The 23275-nt window shown below is 36.4% G+C and overlaps 1 annotated feature.

Moving 5' to 3' along the window:
• Positions 10963-11464: an enhancer, noted in NCBI's record as "NANOG-H3K4me1 hESC enhancer chr5:161038283-161038784 (GRCh37/hg19 assembly coordinates)". NCBI's record gives its function as "activates a minimal SCP1, AML or CMV promoter by ChIP-STARR-seq in naive H9 embryonic stem cells {active_cell/tissue: H9 hESC(naive)}" and the evidence as "EXISTENCE:reporter gene assay evidence [ECO:0000049][PMID:30033119]".

Genomic DNA, 23275 nt, shown 5'->3' on the forward strand with positions numbered 1-23275 from the left:
TCTCTCTCCCAGCTGGTACGCTACATGCCACCACCAAACCTGGTTGTTAGAAATTGAAAAGGGTAGCAGCGGGAGGATTCCCACCACTGTGAAGCCACTGGAGAACAATGAAGGATTAGGATTGTTAGTGATGGAAGTCCCTAGGGTAAGGAATTTGGAGGCTTTTTCCACCTCATCAAAGCTCTTCTACTTTATGACCCTCTCTCTCCCATACCTTTTTCTTAACATTGAACTTTGATTCCTAGAATTTTTTTTTTTAAGAGACAGGGTTGTGCTCTGTCACCCAGCTAGAGGGCAGTGGTATGATAATAGTTCACTGTAGCCTCCATCTCCTGTGCTTAAGCAGTCCTCCTTTCTCAGCCTCCCAAGTAACTGGGACTACAGCTGCACAATACTTACTGAACCTGGCTAATTTTTTCATTTTTTATAGAAACAAGGGTCTCACGTTGTTGGTCAGGCTGGTCCTGAACTCCTGGGCCCAAGAGATCTTCCCACCTCAGCCTCCCAAAGTGCTGGGATTACAGGCATAAGCCACCATGCCTGGCCTGAGTCCTAGCATTAAGACTATGTCTTCTGTTTCTTTTGTCCTATTTATTGACCGGCATGACCCTCAGATATTCTGAATAAATTGTGTTTGGAATTTAGGTTTGTTTTTTTGGTTTCAGAAGTGGTTAATAAAAAAAAAAAAAGAACGGCAAGTTAAATAAACTTTTATTTTAAAATTTAAAATGGTGAGGGTTATCACAATACAGTCAGAAGTAACTGACCAAAAATTTAAGTAACATTGATAGAGGACTGTTTCCTTCTATTTCTCAGATCTGCCTTCTTTTCTTGGTGGGAGTTTTAAAGCAATTGGGGGCCATATTGAAAACCCCCTCCTCCTTGTGGTGGCTCCTTAGAAAGTCCTGGCATTCGCTCTGATTAGACCAACGTGGATCATGTGTCTATTTATGAGCCAGTCACTGTGAAAATTGTTCAGATTGACTTGGGCTTAGATGGCATACATTTATCTGAAGTTCTGATGGAGCATGGATTAAAGTCATGGAGAGATGCTTTACCAAGAAAATTAAGGGGTTGTAATCAGAATAAAGGGAAAATGATTGTTGTTATTAAATATGAAAGAATTCTGCTCACATCATCTTAAAATAGGTTAATATGAACTCTGTAGAAGGTACTGTGCAAGGTACTGAGCATTCAGAGTTGAATTAGACATGGTCCTACTTTTGAGAGGTTTATAGTCTACTGAGAAGACAACTGTATAAGGCAATAAGTATACTAGTGTGTTATGTGTTTTGTAACAGCAGTGCAAGTGAAGTGGTAAATGAAAAGAGAGGACGTAAAAGTTACTAGTATTCACTCCATCTGGGGTATGGCAGGTCTTGGAGTTGGTGGAGATGTTTGAAAACACTCCACATAATGAGTTTTTTTGAACTGGATTTGACAGATAAATGAGGGTAAAAGAGATGGGGATGGAGAGGGAAGCATTAAATCAGAAGAACAAAATATTTCTACCAGTTACAAATAGGAGATATAGCTTCTGTGAGGATGGCCTGCCACCACTAAACTGTTAAAATGATTAGACTTAAAACATTCATCTCTGGCTGTTTATGTGCCTGTCCAAACCAGAGCTTATGTTTGGTTTCATTTCTTTTTGAGAATTTTAATCACATACAATTATGGCATATACTATATTTATTGTGTGGAGGTGATCAAGAGTGGAGTCTGACAGACAAATGTATTTAAGTGATAAAGAATTAACTCATCTAATCCTTATAACAAAGCTGTCTTATGAACATATAAACAGTCATTAATTTCATGCCAATGCCCTTTGTGTTTCCATGTTATTTCTACTTATTTTATGTGGGGATATCACTTTTTGTGGTTAAATACTCTAATTCACTGGAATGTTAAAATATTAAATTCAGAGTCCTATTGATGTTTTTATAATAATAGTTAATGGTAGTGCCTTTAATCCAAATAAGTTTGTATTTTAACCTTGGATTCCAACACCAGCTGTGTGATCTTGTAAAATTACTCAGACTCTCTGGGCCTCTATTCTATCATTAAAGTGATTATAATAGTATAATCCCTTAGGATTTTTATGGCGATTAAAGACATAATATATGCAAGTGCTTAGTAGAATCTTTGGGACAAAATAAATGTTTATTAAATGTGACTGCTAGAATGACAATAAAAGCAATTTGATGGTTTAATAACCAAATCACTGTTGAAATGGATTACCATAGACCCATTTTGCTCAGAATGCTGATCTTCATTATTCTAATTAAAGATAATTCAATCATAGAGCCCCATTTTAAAAAAATGAATTTTTTCATAGAGCATTGATCACAGGATTGGGTGTGACAGTGTCCCAATCTTAGTTCTTTCACGGTTAGGTTTTGTTATGAACCCAAAGCTTCCTCTTAAGACTTCAGTTTTTGCATTCATAAAATGACATTAATGACCTCTACTGCCTTTTAAATAAAAAAATTATATATTTTTAATACCATAAGTAGCCCTTTACAATAGCCCTTCTTGCTCACTAGCCTGTGGTTTTATCAAAAACATTTTGTTTTGTATAGTATATTCAGGCATTACATCGGAATATGAAAGTGCTGATTCAGCAAATGTGTTAAAGTTTCATTTTATGGTGAAGCATTTTATGAGAGTATGTGCATTAAACATCAAGTACAGAAAGCGCATACCCATTTAAGTGTAAATATATGTATATGTGACATTTATCCTCCTATAAATAAGCCTGTGGATATACAAAAAAAGCAAAATATGATAAATATTTATTTCCTAAGCCTAGCTCTAAAAGATTTCACTTCCAAGCACTGTGAGCCTACCAGACAAATGCTGGCCTAAACTGAAAACTTTGAAATGTGCCTTAGGAGACAGGAGATTTTGATTTTGTAGCAATGATGCAGAGGGCCAATGTCAATGTAGCTCTCCTTCGAAGCATTTTGACTCAATAGCGAGGTCCATTTTCACATATGATTCTGATGACATTACCTAAGTGGAAAAGGATCCTCTTCCTATAGTACCAGATCAATCTAAATGCTTTTGATAGTCTTCAGAAAGAAGAGCCAAGTACATTAAACAAAGTGAAGTCCTGGGGACTCAACAAAGCCTTCTAGCCTAAATGTATTAAGAGATTGTCTGAAGCAACAATTTCACTATCATGGCAGATGTGTTTATTTGGTTTTGATGCTGATATATATCCTCTTGTATTATCCATCAATGGGAAAAGGGTTGGACACCACTAATGTACACTATGATCAAAAAATAAATACAATAGAACAATAACAAAAAAGAAAAACCAATTTTCTTAGAAGGTCATCTGAACTTAGTATACATTATTTTATTATTCATTTATTTTAGAGAGAAGGTCTTACTCTCTTGCCCAGGCTGAACACAGTGGTTGTGATCACAGCTCTTTGTAACCTTGAATTCCTGGGCTTAAGTGATCCTCTGCCTCAGCCTTTCCAGTAGCTGGAGACTACAGGTGTGGGCCACCATGCCCACCTAATGGATATCAGGTTTTGCTATGTTGCTCAAGCTGGTCTCGAACTTCTGTCTGTAAGTGATCCTCCTGCTTCAGTCTCCAAAAGCACTGAGATTACAGATGTGAGTCACTGTGCCCGGTCCTTAACAGCATATTTTAAAGAAATGACACAGAAACACAGAAATCCCCGGAAGAACTTGCTATAGTACAGCATGGGGGCTGGGAGGGTGTTCTGCCATATTTAGTAAAGGACTGCAAAGATGGACACAGAGTACATATTAGAAAAATTCTGATTACCTGATGTACTCAAGCAAAATGGGAGTAGAATGTAAACCAGCAGAGCATTTAGAAAAGAGTACTGAACAATGAACTGGCTGTCCCAGGATGAAGCCCTGAATCCTCCACTAATAATGTCAGAGATATTGGCACATTCATAAACTCTCTGAGTTTCTTGTGTAAAATGGAATTTGTTTAGTCAAACTCATGTTATTGTGACACAAACTGTATAACATGTTTAAGTAATTTATAAATTTTATTTGTTAATTCAAAATTTAAATCTTGCACATTTATGAAGACCTACCTAAAACACTACAGGGAATGGCCAAATAAAAGACAAGGTATCTCTTACATCAAGTTCTTCCTGTATAGTTTACAGACAAGTGACATGCATGAATCAAGTAGAGAATGAGAGACAGTGAATTATGATATCTCTTCAACTATGTATAAACATAGCAGCTAGAAGCATTAAGTATGTATATTGAGTTTTTTCTCCTCTTCCAATAACTGGACTTTTGCTGGGCTCCACTTTTAATGGCTTTTTATATAAATGTTCTCCACAGCCTTCTCTCAACCATTTTTGCTGTATCCTTTCTCACAAGATGAACTTAATTACTCTGCCATCAATGCAAGGTGGAACTTCCTGTATTCTTCACTGATACAACTATACTGGCTACCTACAGCCGGCAAATGTTCTGATTGCCCAGAGCCCATGCCCTATTGCTGATGACCGGTACCATGTTAGTTATTAACTGTCGGCTTTACATGGATAACTCTTGTCCACATTTCCATCCTCCTTTCCAAACACTGCACCTGGAAGTCTTGCCAACTTGTTAAGGTTATTGCTAAACCTTAACACATCACCCGCTTTCCTCACATTGGCTTTCTTTTTTCTAGTGCTTATTTTGATACAGGGTTTATTGTTTTAGTTGTCTCCCTTTCTCCATACTTATTAAGTGCTTTTTCTTTTCTTTTCCATTTTGAAATAACTCTTGTACACTTTTTTGTTCAGTTCATAATTACTGTACCTAAGTTGAGGGCCATTTCCTTGAATCATTGCACATTTTTTTTTTTGCTCCTACTTCATTTTCTCTCTAATTTCACAACCAATGTTTACAAATTAACCTTAAGTCATTTTTTATTTTTAAAACTTCAATGCTACTTCTCTAGTTAATAAAATCACCATTCAACAGGCTTTAGATTGATACTTTGAGTCCAACATACCTTCCCTTTCATATTTTCACTCACACACTGTATGCTGTGTTCAAGTGCACTGAGACTTATTATATGCTAATCAGAAAAGACTTCATAGAAGAAGTAGTATCTGATAAGTGTCAGGAACCCTGCTTTATGCTTGTGTGAAACCCTGAATAAATCCCTTATAATATAATTTTCTCACTAGATCAAGTTTCCAAACCCACCCACCTCAGTGGTGCCTTCCCTGATTTTCGCACGGTAAAATGTGATTTCTCCCTATTTGAAAACTTCACGGTAGTTTGTTCTTGTTTAAAAATGACTTACTACTTTCTGCCTTTCATTATAATGATTTGTTTTATACTTGTAGTTCTCCCTCATTAGATTTCATGCTCCTTGAGAGAAGGAACTTTATCTTATATTCTTTGCAGTATCTTTGACTATATTTATATTTGATTTTTTGCAGTATCAGTGGCCATTGAATTGAAAGATTCCAACAGACAAACTAATGCTTGTTTTGACTCTCATTTACAGGACTGCAACTAAACTAAAATACAAAAATTACACACACACATACATTCACACACAGACACACACACACACATACACACACACAAACACTAAAATTAATCATCAATGGTGTGCTGGTATATCAGGTAATCAGAGTCTTCCTAGCACATAACCTGTGTCCATCTTTATTGTCCTCTGCTGAATGTGGCAGAACACCCTTTCAAACCCCATGCTTTACTGCAGATAGTTTTTTCTTTTATTATTATACTTTAAGTTTTAGGGTACATGTGCACATTGTGCAGGTTAGTTACATATGTATACATGTGCCATGCTGGTGCGCTGCACCCACTAACTCGTCATCTAGCATTAGGTATATCTCCCGATGCTATCCCTCCCCCCTCCCCCCACCCCACAACAGTCCCCAGAGTGTGATATTCCCCTTCCTGTGTCCATGTGATCTCATTTTTCAATTCCCACCTATGAGTGAGAATATGCGGTGTTCGGTTTTTTGTTCTTGCGATAGTTTACTGAGAATGATGATTTCCAATTTCATCCATGTCCCTACAAAGGACATGAACTCATCATTTTTTATGGCTGCATAGTATTCCATGGTGTATATGTGACACATTTTCTTAATCCAGTCTATCATTGTTGGACATTTGGGTTGGTTAAAAGTCTTTGCTATTGTGAATAATGCCGCAATAAACATACGTGTGCATGTGTCTTTATAGCAGCATGATTTATAGTCCTTTGGGTATATACCCAGTAATGGGATGGCTGGGTCAAATGGTATTTCCAGTTCTAGATCCCTGAGGAATCACCACACTGACTTTCACAATGGTTGAACTAGTTTACAGTCCCACCAACAGTGTAAAAGTGTTCCTATTTCTCCACATCCTCTCCAGCACCTGTTGTTTCCTGACTTTTTAATGATTGCCATTCTACCTGGTGTGAGATGGTATCTCATTGTGGTTTTGATTTGCATTTCCCTGATGGCCAGTGATGATGAGCATTTTTTCATGTGTTTTTTGGCTGCATAAATGTCTTCTTTTGAGAAATGTCTGTTCATGTCCTTTGCCCACTTTTTGATGGGGTTGTTTGTTTTGTTCTTGTAAATTTGTTTGAGTTCATTGTAGATTCTGGATATTAGCCCTTTGTCAGATGAGTAGGTTGCGAAAATTTTCTCCCATTTTGTAGGTTGCCTGTTCATTCTGATGGTAGTTTCTTTTGCCCTGCAGAAGCTCTTTAGTTTAATTAGATCCCATTTGTCAATTTTGACTTTTGTTGCCATTGCTTTTGGTGTTTTAGACATGAAGTCCTTGCCCATGCCTATGTCCTGAATGGTAATGGCTAGGTTTTCTTCTAGGGTTTTTTATGGTTTTAAGTCTAACCTTTAAGTCTTTAATCCATCTTGAATTGATTTTTATATAAGGTGTAAGGAAGGGATCCAGTTTCAGCTTTCTACATATGGCTAGCCAGTTTTCCCAGCACCATTTATTAAATAGGGAACCCTTTCCCCTTTGCTTGTTTTTCTCAGGTTTGTCAAAGATCAGATAGTTGTAGATATGTGGCGTTATTTCTGAGGGCTCTGTTCTGTTCCATTGATCTATATCTCTGTTTTGGTACCAGTACCATGCTGTTTTGGTTACTGTAGCCTTGTAGTATAGTTTAAAGTCAGGTAGTGTGATGCCTCCAGCTTTGTTCTTTTGGCTTAGGATTGACTTGGTGATGCGGGCTCTTTTTTGGTTCCATATGAACTTTAAAGTAGTTTTTTCCAATTCTGTGAAGAAAGTCATTGGTAGCTTGATGGGGATGGCATTGAATCTGTAAATTATCTTGGGCAGTATGGCCATTTTCACGATATTGATTCTTCCTACCCATGAGCATGGAATGTTCTTCCATTTGTTTGTATCCTCTTTTATTTCCTTGAGCAGTGGTTTGTAGTTCTCCTTGAAGAGGTCCTTCACATCCCTTGTAAGTTGGATTCCTAGGTATTTTATTCTCTTTGAAGCAATTGTGAATGGGAGTTCACTCGTGATTTGGCTCTCTGTTTGTCTGTTGTTGGTGTATAAGAATGCTTGTGATTTTTGTACACTGATTTTGTATCCTGAGACTTTGCTGAAGTTGCTTATCAGCTTAAGGAGATTTTGGGCTGAGACAATGGGGTTTTCTAGATATACAATCATGTCATCCGCAAACAGGGACAATTTGACTTCCTCTTTTCCTAATTGAATACCCTTTATTTCCTTCTCCTGCCTAATTTCCCTGGCCAGAACTTCCAACACTATGTTGAATAGAAGTGGTGAGAGAGGGCATCCCTGTCTTGTGCCAGTTTTCAAAGGGAATGCTTCCAGTTTTTGCCCATTCAGTATGATATTGGCTGTGGGTTTGTCATAGATAGCTCTTATTATTTTGAAATAAGTCCCATCAATACCTAATTTATTGAGAGTTTTTAGCATGAAGGGTTGTTGAATTTTGTCAAAGGCTTTTTCTGCATCTATTGAGATAATCATGTGGTTTTTGTCTTTGGTTCTGTTTATATGCTGGATTACATTTATTGATTTGAGTATATTGAACCAGCCTTGCATCCCAGGGATGAAGCCCACTTGATCATGGTGGATAAGCTTTTTGATGTGCTGCTGGATTCGTTTTGCCAGTATTTTATTTAGGATTTTTGCACCAATGTTCATCAAGGATATTGGTCTAAAATTCTCTTTTTTGGTTGTGTCTCTGCCAGGCTTTGGTATCAGAATGATGCTGGCCTCATAAAATGAGTTAGGGAGGATTCCCTCTTTTTCTATTGATTGGAATAGTTTCGGAAGGAATGGTACCAGTTCCTCCTTGTACCTCTGGTAGAATTCGGCTGTGAATCCATCTGGTCCTGGACTTTTTTTGGTTGGTAAGCTATTGATTATTGCCACAATTTCAGCTCCTGTTATTGGTCTATTCAGAGATTCAACTTCTTCCTGGTTTAGTCTTGGGAGAGTGTATGTGTCCAGGGATTTATCTATTTCTTCTAGATTTTCTAGTTTATTTGCATAGACGTGTTTGTAGTATTCTCTGATGGTAGTTTGTATTTCTGTGGGATCGGTGGTGATATCCCCTTTATCATTTTTTATTGCGTCTATTTGATTCATCTCTCTTTTTTTCTTTATTAGTCTTGCTAGCGGTCTATCAATTTTGTTGATCCTTTCAAAAAACCAGCTCCTGGATTCATTAATTTTTTGAAGGGTTTTTTGTGTCTCTATTTCCTTCAGTTCTGCTCTGATTTTAGTTATTTCTTGCCTTCTGGTAGCTTTTGAATGTGTTTGCTCTTGCTTTTATAGTTCTTTTAATTGTGATGTTAGGGTGTCAATTTTAGATCGTTCCTGCTTTCTCTTGTGGGCATTTAGTGCTATAAATTTCCCTCTACACACTGCTTTGAATGCGTCCCAGAGATTCTGGTATGTTGTGTCTTTGTTCTCGTTGGTTTCAAAGAACAACTTTATTTCTGCCTTCATTTCGTTATGTACCCAGTAGTCATTCAGGAGCAGGTTGTTTAGTTTCCACGTAGTTGAGCGGTTTTGAGTGAGATTCTTAATCCTGAGTTCTAGTTTGATTGCACTGTGGTCTGAGAGATAGTTTGTTATAATTTCTGTTCTTTTACATTTGCTGAGGAGAGCTTTACTTCCAAGCAGGTGGTCAATTTTGGAATAGGTGTGGTGTGGTGCTGAAAAAAATGTATATTCTGTTGATTTGGGGTGGAGAGTTCTGTACATGTCTATTAGGTCTGCTTGGTGCAGAGCTGAGTTCAATTCCTGGGTATCTTTGTTGACTTTCTGTCTCGTTGATCTGTCTAATGTTGACAGTGGGGTGTTAAAGTCTCCCATTATTAATGTGTGGGAGTCTAAGTCTCTTTGTAGGTCACTCAGGACTTGCTTTATGAATCTTGGTGCTCCTGTATTGGGTGCATATATATTTAGGATAGTTAGCTCTTCTTGTTGAATTGATCCCTTTACCATTATGTAATGGCCTTCTTTGTCTCTTTTGATCTTTGTTGGTTTAAAGTCTGTTTTATCAGAGACTAGGATTGCAACCCCTGCCTTTTTTTGTTTTCCATTTGCTTGGTAGATCTTCCTCCATCCTTTTATTTTGAGCCTATGTGTGTCTCTGCACATGAGATGGGTTTCCTGAATACAGCACACTGATGGGTCTTGACTCTTTATCCAATTTGCCAGTCTGTGTCTTTTAATTGGAGCATTTAGTCGATTGACATTTAAAGTTAATATTGTTATGTGTGAATTTGATCCTGTCATTATGATGTTAGCTGGTGATTTTGCTCGTTAGTTGATGCAGTTTCTTCCTAGTCTCGATGGTCTTTACATTTTGGCATGATTTTGCAGCGGCTGGTACCGGTTGTTCCTTTCCATGTTTAGTGCTTCCTTCAGGAGCTCTTGTAAGGCAGGCCTGGTGGTGACAAAATCTCTCAGCATTTGCTTGTCTGTAAAGTATTTTATTTCTCCTTCACTTTTGAAGCTTAGTTTGGCTGGATATGAAATTCTGGGTTGAAAATTCTTTTCTTTAAGAATGTTGAATATTGGCCCCCACTCTCTTCTGGCTTGTAGGGTTTCTGCCAAGAGATCCGCTGTTAGTGTGATGGGCTTCCCTTTGAGGGTAACCCGACCTTTCTCTCTGGCTGCCCTTAACATTTTTTCCTTCATTTCAACTTTGGTGAATCTGACAATTATGTGTCTTGGAGTTGCTCTTCTCGAGGAGTATCTTTGTGGCATTCTCTGTATTTCCTGAATCTGAACGTTGGCCTGCCTTGCTAGATTGGGGAAGTTCTCCTGGATAATATCCTGCAGAGTGTTTTCCAGCTTGGTTCCATTCTCCCCGTCACTTTCAGGTACACCAATCAGACGTAGATTTGGTCTTTTCACATAGTCCCATATTTCTTGGAGGCTTTGCTCATTTCTTTTTATTCTTTTTTCTCTAAACTTCCCTTCTCACTTCATTTCATTCATTTCATCTACCATTGCTGATACCCTTTCTTCCAGTTGATCTCATTGGCTCCTGAGGCTTCTGCATTCTTCACGTAGTTCTCGAGCCTTGGTTTTCAGCTCCATCAGCTCCTTTAAGCACTTCTCTGTATTAGTTATTCTAGTTATACATTCTTCTAAATTTTTTTCAAAGTTTTCAACTTCTTTGCCTTTGGTTTGAATGTCCTCCCATAGCTCAGAGTAATTTGATCGTCTGATGCCTTCTTCTCTCAGCTCGTCAAAGTCATTCTCCATCCAGCTTTGTTCCATTGCTGGTGAGGAACTGCGTTCCTTTGGAGGAGGAGAGGCGCTCTGCTTTTTAGAGTTTCCAGTTTTTCTGTTCTGTTTTCTCCCCATCTTTGTGGTTTTATCTACCTTTGGTCTTTGATGATGGTGATGTAGAGATGGGTTTTTGGTGTGGATGTCCTTTCTGTTTGTTAGTTTTCCTTCTAACAGAGAGTACCCTCAGCTGCAGGTCTGTTGGAATACCCTGCCATGTGAGGTGTCAGTGTGCCCCTGCTGGGGGGTGCCTCCGAGTTAGGCTGCTCAGGGGTCAGGGGTCAGGGACCCACTTGACGAGGCAGTCTGCCCGTTCTCAGATCTCCAGCTGCGTGCTGGGAGAACCACTGCTCTCTTCAAAGCTGTCAGACAGGGACATTTAAGTCTGCAGAGGTTACTGCTGTCTTTTTGTTTGTCTGTGCCCTGCCCCCAGAGGTGGAGCCTACAGAGGCAAGCAGGCCTCCTTGAGCTGTGGTGGGCTCCACCCAGTTCGAGCTTCCTGGCTGCTTTGTTTACCTAATCAAGCCTGGGCAATGGCGGGCGCCCCTCCCCCAGCCTTGCTGCCGCCTTGCAGTTTGATCTCAGACTGCTGTGCTAGCAATCAGCGAGACTCCGTGGGCGTAGGATCCTCCGAGCCAGGTGCGGGATATAATCTCATGGTGCGCCGTTTTTTAAGCCAGTCGGAAAAGCATAGTATTTGGGTGGGAGTGACCCGATTTTCCAGGTGCCGTCGGTCACCCCTTTCTTTGACTCAGAAAGGGAACTCCCTGACCCCTTGCGCTTCCCAAGTGAGGCAATGCCTCGCCCTGCTTTGGCTCACGCACAGTGCGCGCACCCACTGACCTGCGCCCACTGTCTGGCACTCCCTAGTGAGATGAACCCGGTACCTCAGCTGGAATTGCAGAAATCACCCGTCTTCTGCGTCCCTCACGCTGGCAGCTGTAGACCAGAGCTGTTCCTATTCGGCCATCTTGGCTCCTCCCCCTGCAGATAGTTTTTTTAGAAAATTTATTTCATTCAACAATCTGAATGAATTTTTCCTCTTATGCATAAACTTAGAAGCCATGATTGCTACTATTTGTGTTTTCTTTTCTAATATATTTTAATATAATATCTTATTCCATTGGCAAATAAAATCAGTGCTTCCAGGTAAATAAAAATTGGCTAGCCTATTTATTTATTATTTATTTATTTTAAATTCACTTTCTAGTTGAAAGAGACTTAAAGTGCTGTCAATTCACAAACTTCTGTCTCTGAAAATAACATGGCAATTTTCCCCGGTGATAGTGTTTCTGTAGCTGTTTAAACCCAGTTAAAATTTCACATACAATAATGGGTTCTATTAATCTTTTAGAAAGCAGTCACTTTAAAAGACAATAGTTAAATGAGATGAAGAGTGATGATGCCTCATCAGTATATAGAGTGAAGCTAAAAGTCTTTTAAATATATCTCCATCCACTGAGGTCACTGTCATAAAGATAAACTATCTCCTTATCACCACAAGATGGTGACACTTTCTGAACCAGGATTTGATAATGGATGGACCTTAGATGTAAATTATTATGAATGTACATGCAATTTTAATTACCATTTATTCTTTCTGCAGAATTGTATCAAGTGGCCACAGTATCCTGGGAATTGTATGAGAGGCTAAACCTATAAAAAAGATTTTGTTCTAAATGTATTCTTTAATATATTTACTGTAATAGATGCTCTTTGGAGAAAAAAATCCTCTTGTCAAATAATGTTGGGAAACATCTCTATCTCCCTTTTAGAAACGTACGTGCATATTAGCATATGACAATTTCAGATAATGCCGGCACTAAAAAACACCCTGCTTGACTTTGTTTACTACAGTTTCTCCCACACGTTTTTGACAAGAAAATGTTTGTGTTTATGTCCCCTCTTGCCTGGTCATAACTGTCACCAATAGATAATGCTCTGGATAAGCCTCTGGGACTTTCCATCATCTCAGTATAACTTATAAAGTCTTGATTACACACTGACATACACATATGGAGGAAGACACACATCCCATAGGAAACTTGCCCCTTGTATGGAAGATGAATAAGATTTCAATTTTTATCCTCACTCGCAATCTGTTTAACTTTGAGAAAATCACTTCACCTCTCTGGGCCAAATTATTTCCATTGCATACAAGTAAAAATAACAATGAATTTGTACTCTAAAGTTGAGGAGCAGATCTTATGATGGCTGTTAGTATTATGATGATAGCATAACCTTATGATGATATTACCACCAACTTTGAGAATGAGAATGTATGCTTATAATACTATTAGGATGAAATATAAACTATAGTGCACCTAACAAGTTATGAACACATGTGAAGAACATGTTGGGTTTGGCTCACATCCAGGTGATATAGCTTATTTAAAGATACATGGCTCTCCTGAAGCGACGTCTGGAGATTTTGGGTGATTTTCTCCCAGTTTTCTAGAATATAGCACTAAAAGGTTTTTACTGTTCACTTATACATGATTAGATTTGGCTATGCATGTCCCTGAAATAGTTGATAAAGAAAATATATGATTGACTTGAGCAATTGAAAGGATGTAAAATTTCATAATAAATAAAAGCAGTTATTAAGAATTTTTAGGGAGCCAGTGTACCAAGAGAAAATTGAATGCTGTGATGATATTTAATATAAATTCAATCCAAAACAGCCATTTTATGGAAACCCAATGAGTTAATCAACACTATTTCAGAGGTTATATAGACATGGGCAAGAGATTTATGCTATTTTACTAATAAATAATCTTTGTTATACTTTCTTTTAAATGTAAGAAATTTTAAAGTTTCAAAAAGAGGTAAATTTATTACCTGAGTTCTAAATCTGTCCCTAAAGAGCTGTGTGACATTAGGCAATGTCACTTTACTTCTATGCTCTCATGTTTTATATATACAGAGAAAGACTTCAACCATATCTATTTTCAGATATAAAAATTATTATCAAAGAAATAATGCAGAGATGTCAGAACTCTGATGAAAATGAAGGTAAGTCATTCCAATACATATTTTCTATTCACCTCAGTTGAAAAGTGACCTTTAGTATAAAGTTATTTGAAAATACTAATTCATGGGTAAATTCAGTTATAGCTACTTTGAGTTAATATGATTTGTGGAAATGCACAATTCAAATGGTATTGGATGTATATTTGAGAGATTGCAACAGTCTAATAAGTTACTAAATATGAAGGAGTCATGAGACAGACATCATACTCAAGCATTACAAAATTTAGTTGTGTGGTCCTTCTACAGAGCCAAAGAAAATATCTTACTTAACATCTTAGAAAAAGTGTGTGTTTGAGCCATGGAAATAATAATATAGATACATTTTAATCACCTTTTGGTAGCAAGGAATAAATGCAATGTATAAAGACCACAGGCCACATTGCCTATCTTTAAACTCTAGAACTGAAACTCCCCGGGCAGTTCTTTCAGTTATGTGCTTTGGGGAAGGAACCCTCATTCTCTATGGTTCAGTTTTCTCATCTGAAAAACAGGAATAATAATAGTAAGTATCTTACAAAACGTTTTTTGGTAATTAACAATGCATGCAAAACATAGTAGCTGTTTCTTACAGAAAGTGCTTTATTAATGTAAGCAAATTTTAAGATTAATACTCAAAAACTAGTTTCAATAAAGGTAGAGTAACTTGATTTATACTAATTATTCTGCTAATAACAATAATAAGCAATTATTAAAATACTGCTATAAAACAATTGTCTAAAGCACTGGAAACTAGAAGAGAAACAATCCTTTTTAAAAAAAGGATTTTAAAAAATTCTGAGAGTTTTGGAATTCAATAGCTTTTCTCCAAAGGAACCTCTAATATACCTTGGAACCTTCTAGGTGCAAGGCCTACAAAAACACAGAAGCAGGCTGCATCTGGGAGAATAAAGACTTGGGCAGAAATTAAAGCAGCTCTATGTTTGAGAAACATTTGGGGTTCAAGTCTTAACAAGTTAGAGGGGTTCAGTAAACACCTTGGGATTTTCATGGAAATCCCAGAAGAACCATGTCTTACAAGTAAAGATAAACGGCTACATCCTAGTTCTAAGAGCAAAACCAGTATTCTTAACAGCCCCACTTAGAACAGAGCTTAAATAAGATAAATCAAACTTCCCATTTTCTAATTCCCTACTGAAACAAAACACTTTTTTTTAGAAATGATGACATAATTCAGATTTTCTACAACATGGTATGCATAATGTCCGGTGTGCAGCTAAAATTTAAAATGTGTAGCAATAAAGAGGAAAATTGAACACAAAATTAAAAAGAAAAAACAGAAACAGACCTACAGATGACCCAGATACTGGAATTAGCAATAAAATTCATTAAAGCAGGCTTAATATACATTAAAATGGGTTTTATACATATATGAGAGGAATCAGGAAAACATGATGAAAATAGGTAAACAGATGGAGAGCCAAAGCAGAGATGGAAAAATCTAAAAAGGAACCACATGGAATTATTACAAGAGAATAATATATCATCTACAGTATAAAAGATCTTTGGACGGACTAGACATAGCAGAAAAATGAATCAACATGTGAAAACAAATAAAATATCAAAGATGCTAGAACCCCCCAAACACTTTAAGCCTTGAGAAAGATGTGACTGTAATCCAAGTCACGTATGGTTACAACTTCTGTTCTTAGATTATAGATTAAATCGCTTTCTTTTTTTTTTAATTCTTTACAATGACTGGAGAGAATTAAATGATGTAAGGAACAAAAAAATCCTGCTTTTCTAATTAATGACCCTTATTATAGATTAACTTCTTGTTGTCCTGCTTTGATTAGACAAGATGACAGAAAACCCATGTTTATTACATCTTGTGTAAAACATGTTAAATGTTCATTTCCTAAAAAGAAGCACTGACTATAACCAGTCAAAATGCCGTAACTATGTGCCAAACTTGTGTGAATAATGTTGTAATCTTCCAAAAAACTCCTTTGTCTCTGCCTATAGAATGAAACACTAACTTCTCTGCTTCGGAATGCTGACTCCATTGCTCTGCAGTTGGAGTTTCCAGGTGGTCCATTCTCACACTTTGTGCTAGAATAAGCTTTTTAAATTCGATTCTGACCCTTTTGGTTAATTTAAGTTGGCAAACAGTTACAAGGACACATCACTAGAAATTATTTGAACTGAAACACAGAATATATGAAAATGAAAAGTCATAATAGAGCCTGTAAGTCTTGTATCATGGCCAGGTGCAGTGGCTCACATCTGTAATCTCAGCACTTTTGGAGGCTGAGGTGAGAGGATCACTTGAGCCCAGTACAAGATCAGCCTGGGCAATATAGCAAGATCCCATCTCAAAAAAGGGCCTGTATTATAATACCAAATGATAATATGTAATTATCAAGCAGAGGAGTGAATAGAGAAGAAAATAAGTATTTGAAGATATAATAGTGAAAATATTTCTAAAAATGACACAATGTATTTAGCCATAGACCTAGAATCCACAAAACTCTAAGCAAAAACAAAAGCAAAAAAGAAAAACACACCTGTAGGCATTATATCAGACTATAAAAAACAAAAATAAAGAACAAAAATGATAAAAGCAGTCGAATATAATGGACAATAATAAGGATTTAACAACAGTAAGGATGATAACTCACTTATTATCAGAAAAAAAAGAAAGCCATGAAATAAAAATATATCTTCTAAGTACTGGGGGTGGTAGTGAAAGGAGCTATGAACCTAGTATTTTCCAAATGTCTTTAATAGAAGAAGAATAAATTCTTTTGGATGGAGGAAATAAAAACTAAAATAATCTGTCATGAAAAAGTGAAGAAAAGATTAAGACAATTGGAAATAGTAAATATGTGGGTATATAAAATAGGTTATATTTTTCTTATTTAAAAATGTCTAACTGTTTAGGGCAATAAATACTGATATTCACAGAAGTAAAATATTAGCAGATTTGGCAAATAAAATTATACATGTTAAGGTATAATATTAACTTGAGTAGCAACCACTGATAAATAAAACAAAGAAATATAGCTAATAGATTACAAGGGGAGATCAGATGAACTAATATGAAGTACTCAACTAGGACAAAAAAAGAAGGAAGAATGGAGCAAAGTATCAGGCAGAACTTTTAGGAAACACATAGCCAGATGTCGGACTTAAACTCAACATAACTATAATGTTATTTGATATATATGGACTAAACTCTCCAATTAAAAGAAACATATTGTCAGACTAGTTTTAGTGATGAATCATACTACAAGCATGTATGAAGACATGGCCAGGTTGAAAATGATAGATTGGGAAAAGATAGGCAAAGCAACCACATATCATAAGAAACCCATATTAATAGCAAACAAAGTAGATTTCAGGAAAGTGAGTATTATCAGAGGTAAATAAGGATATTTTACAAATATAAATGATTTTTTTTCAAAAATTAATAGAACACAAAGACAGAAATCAGTAAGGATATATAAAAATTGGGCAACAGTAGTAACCAATGTGATGAAATTGACATTTACAACATACCACCTGGAACACCTTCAGAATACATATTCATCTTAGGTATGTATAAAACATTTACTAAAAAATAGACCATAAGCTGTAAATCAAGTACTAATTGATTCAAGATTAAAAATAAACAGTATGTGTTCTTGGCTCATAATAAAATTAAAAATACATGACAAAAATAAAATTAGAACTTTTCAAATATTTGAAATCAAGCAACACACTTATAGTCAGTGGACTGAAGAAGAAATCATGAAAGACATTAGAATAGTCCAGGTGTGGTGGCTCACCCCTGTAATCCCAGTCTTTGGGAGACTGAGGTGGAAGGATCTCTTGAGGCCACGAGTTCGAGACTAACCCAAGCAACATAGTGAGACCCCACTCCACACACAAAGACACACACACACACACACACACACACACACACACACACACACACACAAATTTAAAAAATTAGCCAAGTATAGTGGCATGCCTCTGTATTCCTAGCTACTTAGGAGACTGAGGCAGGAGGATCACTTGAGCCCAAGTGTGTGAGGCTGCAGTGAGCCATGATCCAGCCACTGCACTCCAGCCTGGATGACAGAGTGACATCCTGTCTCAAAAAAAAGAAAGAAAAGAAAAGAAAGAAAGAAAAGAAAAGAAATTAGAAAATATTTTGACATGATAATATATAGAAAATTTAAAAATTGAGAGGGAAATATTTATGGTCTCACATTTATACATTAGAAAACATGAAAGTTTTGAAATAAGATAATAACTCAAGGAGATTTTAAAAAAGATGAGCAATTAAACCCAAACGACAAGAGTAAAGCAAACATAAATAAGAATAAGATGGTACTGCCATAAAAAGACACATAGACAAATGGAACAGAATAGAGAACTGATAAGTAAATCTATGCATTTAAAGCCAACTGATTTTTTACAAAGACACCAAGAACACACACTGGGAAAAGAACAGTGTCTTCAATAAATGGTGCTGAGAAAACTGGATATATATTTGCAGAAGAAAGAAATTAGACCCATATCTCTCACTACATATATATATATGTATATATAAATCCTAAATGGATTGAAGATTTAAATGTAAAACCCAAAACCAAAACTGTGAAACAACTAGAGTAAAACATAGGGGAAATGCTTGATAAAATTGGACTGAACAAGGATTTAAAAAAAAAAAAGCACAGGCAACAAAAACAAAAATAGACATATATTATTATGTCAAGCTTAAGAGCTTCTGCACAGTAAAGGAAGAAATAGTGTGAACAGATATCTATAGAATGGAAGAAAATATTTGAAAACGATTCATCTAACAAGGGATTAATATCCAGAATATATAAGGGACTCAAACAACTCAATAATGAAAATACAAATAATCCAATATAAACATGGACAAAGGGTTTGAATAGGCATTTGTCCAAAGAAGACATACAAATAGCAATCAGTTAAAATTTTTTAATAAAACATTTCAATATCACTAATCATCAGGGAAATGCAAATCAAAAATCACAATGAGACCTTACCTTGGTTGGAATGGTTACAATAAAAAATACAAAAAATAACAAATGCTTGTAAGGATGTGGAGAAAGAGGAACTCTTATGCAATCTTGGTGGGAATGTAAACAGCTGTTATACAAAAGAGTATGGGCCGGGTGCGGTGGCTCACACCAGTAATCCCGGCACTTTGGGAGGCCAAGGTGGGCAGAACACCAGAGGTCAGGAGTTGGAGGCCAGCCTGGCCAACATGGTGAAACCGTCTCTCTACTAAAATACAAAAATTAGTCAGACGTGGTGTCGGGTCGGGCGCCTGTAATCCCAGCTGCTTGGGAGGCTGAGGCAAGAGAATCACTTGAATCCAGGAAGTGGAGGCTGCAGTAAGCTGAGATCGTGCCACTGCACTGCAGCCTGGGCAACAGAAAGAGACTCTGTCTAAAAAAAAAAAAAAAAAAAAAAAAAAAGACAGAAAGAAAAGAAAAGAGTATGAACGTTCCTCAAAAAACTAAAAATAGAACTACCATCTAATTCAAATCCCATTATTTGGCATATATCCAAAGGAAATGAAATTAGTATTTTGAAGAGATAATTGAACTCCTATTTATTGCTGTGCTATTCACAATAACCAAGAAGAATGCTCCACCTAAATGTCCAACTACAGATAAATGAATAAAGAAAATGTGAATAGTATTCTTCATAAAAAAAGAGTGAAACCCTATCATTTTTTGGTAGCAGATATGTACCTGGAGGACATTATATGAAATAAGCAAAGCACAGAAAGTCAAAGACCACATGATCACACTCACATGTGGGATGTAAAATTGTGATTTTATAGAAGTAGAGACTAGAACAGTGGTTATTAGAGGCTGTGGAGGATAGGGAAGATGGGAGGACTAGGAGATGTTGGTCAACCAATACAAAGTTACAGTTAGGAATTGTAAGTTCTGGTGTTCTATTAGACAGTAGGGTGACTATAGCTTATAACAATGTATTGTATATTTCAAGAATAGAAAATATTTAAGTCAAGAAAAAAACAATAGAAAATAATTAACAAAAGAAAAAGTTTTTTTAAATTAAAAATTGACAGGATCAATATCAACACTTTTCAAGAAAATAGAAGGAAGGAACACAAATATCTAGAAAGAAATAGGAAACATCACTATATAGGTTACAGAAACGAAAAGGATAATGGAGGGATAACATTAAAAACTTTAGCCTAATAAATTCAATAATTCATATGACAAGGACAATCTCCCTAACTCACTAAAATGAATACAAAAAGAACTAATAACTAGACAACTTCTCACAAAGAAAACTCCAGGGCCAGATGGTTTCACTGATGAATCATATCAAATATTTAAGAAATAATACCAATTTACATTAATTCTTTTAAAAATAAATGAGGAAATGTGTATCAATTTTTTAAAATGGTGTCAGTATAAATCAGATGTGAAAATCTGACAATAAACATTATAAGAAAAGAAAAATTTAGACAGTATTCCTTACTAACACAAATGCAGACACGTCATTGAAATCTTAACAAACACAACAATATATAAAAAATGATAATATACCAGGATTAAGTTATTGGAACACAAAATTGACATATCTTTGAAATCAATTATTGTAATTTGTTACATAAGAATAAAGAAGAAAAATCACATAATTATCTTAATAAACAAAAAACTCCTTTGATAAAATTCAATAATCTTGAAACTTGTAACAAGTAGAAATTAAGAGATATATTAAAATCTAAAATTAGATATTTATAAAATGAAGCTACAGCTAACATCATACTTAATGGAGAAGTGTTAACATTTCTACAATTAGGAGCAAAGTAAGGATGCCACTTTCACGTTTTCTCTTCAACATTATTCTGGATTAGCATCATGGGAGTAAGACAAGAAAGAATAGCATAAAAATTAGAGAACAAAAAGAAAATGGACATTTGTTGACACATTGTGTAACTAACATTTAAAATAATCTACAGATTAATAATTAGATTTTTTAAAGTAGCAGGATACAAGGTCAATATAAAATAATCAACAGTATTTCAATATTCTAGTAAAAAACAATTAGAAAATATATTAGAATTCTCTAGAGGGACAGGACTAATAGGATAGATGTATATATGAAAGGGAGTTTATTAAGGAGTATTGATACACACGATCACAAGGCGAAGTCCCATAATAGGCCATCTGCGAGCTGAGGAGCAAGGAAGCCAGTTTGAGTCCCAAAACCTCAAAAGTAGTGAACCCAACAGTGCAGCCTTCAGTGTGTGGCGGAAGGCCTGAGCTGCCCCGGCAAACTACTGGTATGAACCAAGAGTTCAAAAGCTGAAGAACTTGGAATCTGATGTTCCAAGGCAGAAAGCATCCAGCACGAGAGAAAGATGAAGGCTGGAAACCTCAGCCAATGTAATCCTTCCATGTTTCTCTGCCTGGTTTTATCCTAGCCACGCTGGCAGCTGATTAGATGGTGCCCACCCAGATCGACGGTAGGTCTGCCTCTCCCAGTCCATTGCCTCAAATGTTAATCTCTTTTAGCAACATCCTCACAAACACACCCAGGAACAATAGTTTGGATCCTTCAATCCAATCAAGTTGACAATATTAACCATCACAGAAAAGAAATTTTAAAAACAGCATATTTATGAAAGCATGATAAAACCTAAAATTCTAAGAGTAAATTAATCAAAACATGCAAAAATTTTACACTGAAAGCTTTACACTTTGCTGATAGAAATTAAAGAAGACCTGCATAAATGGAAAGATTGAAAAAGGAAATACTGTTAAGAGATGCTGATACTCTCTAATTGTGTCTACACACTTTGCAACCCCAATCAATATCCAGTAGCCTTTTAAAAAATTGACTAACTGCATCTAAAATTTGTATAGGAATGCATAGTATCTACTGTATGCAACACAATCTTGAACCAGAAGCACAAATTTGAATTACTTACACTTCTTTAATACATGTTATAAAATATGTAATTAAGACAGTGGGGCCGGGTGCAGTGGCTCACGCCTGTAATCCCAGCACTTTGGGAGGCCGAGGCGGGAGGATCACGAGGTCAGGAGTTCGAGACCAGCCTGGCCAATATGCTGAAACCCTGTTTCTAATAAAAATACAAAAATTAGCCGGGTGTGGTGGCGGGCGCCTGTAGTCCCAGTTACTCAGGAGGCTAAGACTAGAGAATCACTTGAACCCAGGAGGTGGAGGTTGCAGTGAGCCAAGATAGCACCATTGCACTCCGGCCTGGGCAACAGAGTGAGAGAGATTCTATCAAAAAAAAAAAACAAAAAACAAAAACAAAACAAAACAAAAAAAACCACAAAGACAGTGGAGTATTTGTGTGACCACAGATAATTATTGGAATAAAATCTAGAGTTCAGAAATAGATCCACATATATAAAGTTAATTAATTTTCAACAAATACATCCATATAATTCTGGGTGAAAAAATATACTTTTTTTCTCTGACAAATTATGCTGAGTAATTGAATACCTATATAATATATAAATTTTCAATCCCACCTAATACATTAAAATATATAACTATATATTATGCCTATAAGTTTTTTTTTTTTTTTTTGAGACAGAGTCTCACTCTTTTGCCCAGGCAAGAGTGCAGTGGCACTATCGGCTCACTGCAAGCTCCACCTCCAGGGTTCATGCCATTCTCCTGCCTCAGCCTCCCAAGTAGCTGGGACTACAGGCGCCCGCCACTGCGCCCAGCTTATTTTTTGTATTTTTAGTAGAGACGGGGTTTCACCGTGTTAGCCAAGATGGTCTAGATCTCCTGACCTCGTGATCCGCCCGCCTCGGCCTCCCAAAGTGCTGGGATTACAGGCATGAGCCACCGCGCCTGGCCGCCTGTAAGTTTTATTTAAGAAAGCAAAAGAGAATATATTCCAGAGGCAATAATTTTTCAGAAAGAATACAAAAACTTTGACAATAAAATTCAGAATTGAAAATTGGACTTTGCCCAAATAAAAAATGTTCTGCTAATCAAAAGACACTTAGAATATATATAATATATAATATATATATATATACACACACACACACAAGACACAAGGAGATAACATTTTTCATATATTTATCTGAAAGAATTCCTATCCATAAAATATATAGAACTTCTACAGATCCCTAATGAAAAGATAAGTAGTAGAAAAAATTTGGGTCAGGCATGGTGTCTCATGCCTGTAATATCCCAGCACATTAGGAGGCTGAGGTTGGGGGATTGCTTGAGTCCAGGAGGTGGAGGCTGCAGGGAGCCATGATCAGGCCACTGTGCCACTGCACTCCAGCCGGGGTGTCAGTGAGACTCTAACTAAAAAAAAAAAAAAAAAAAAAAAAGATAGATAGATGTACTATATATATGCAAAATTCTTTAAGCAACAATTTATATAGGAAGGATAAAAATGGTCAATGATCATATGAAAAAATTCTCACCTTCCTTACATATCATAGAAAAGCAAAGT

The sequence above is a fragment of the Homo sapiens genome, chromosome 5 (assembly GCF_000001405.40).
Source record: "Homo sapiens chromosome 5, GRCh38.p14 Primary Assembly".
NCBI lineage: Eukaryota > Metazoa > Chordata > Mammalia > Primates > Hominidae > Homo > Homo sapiens.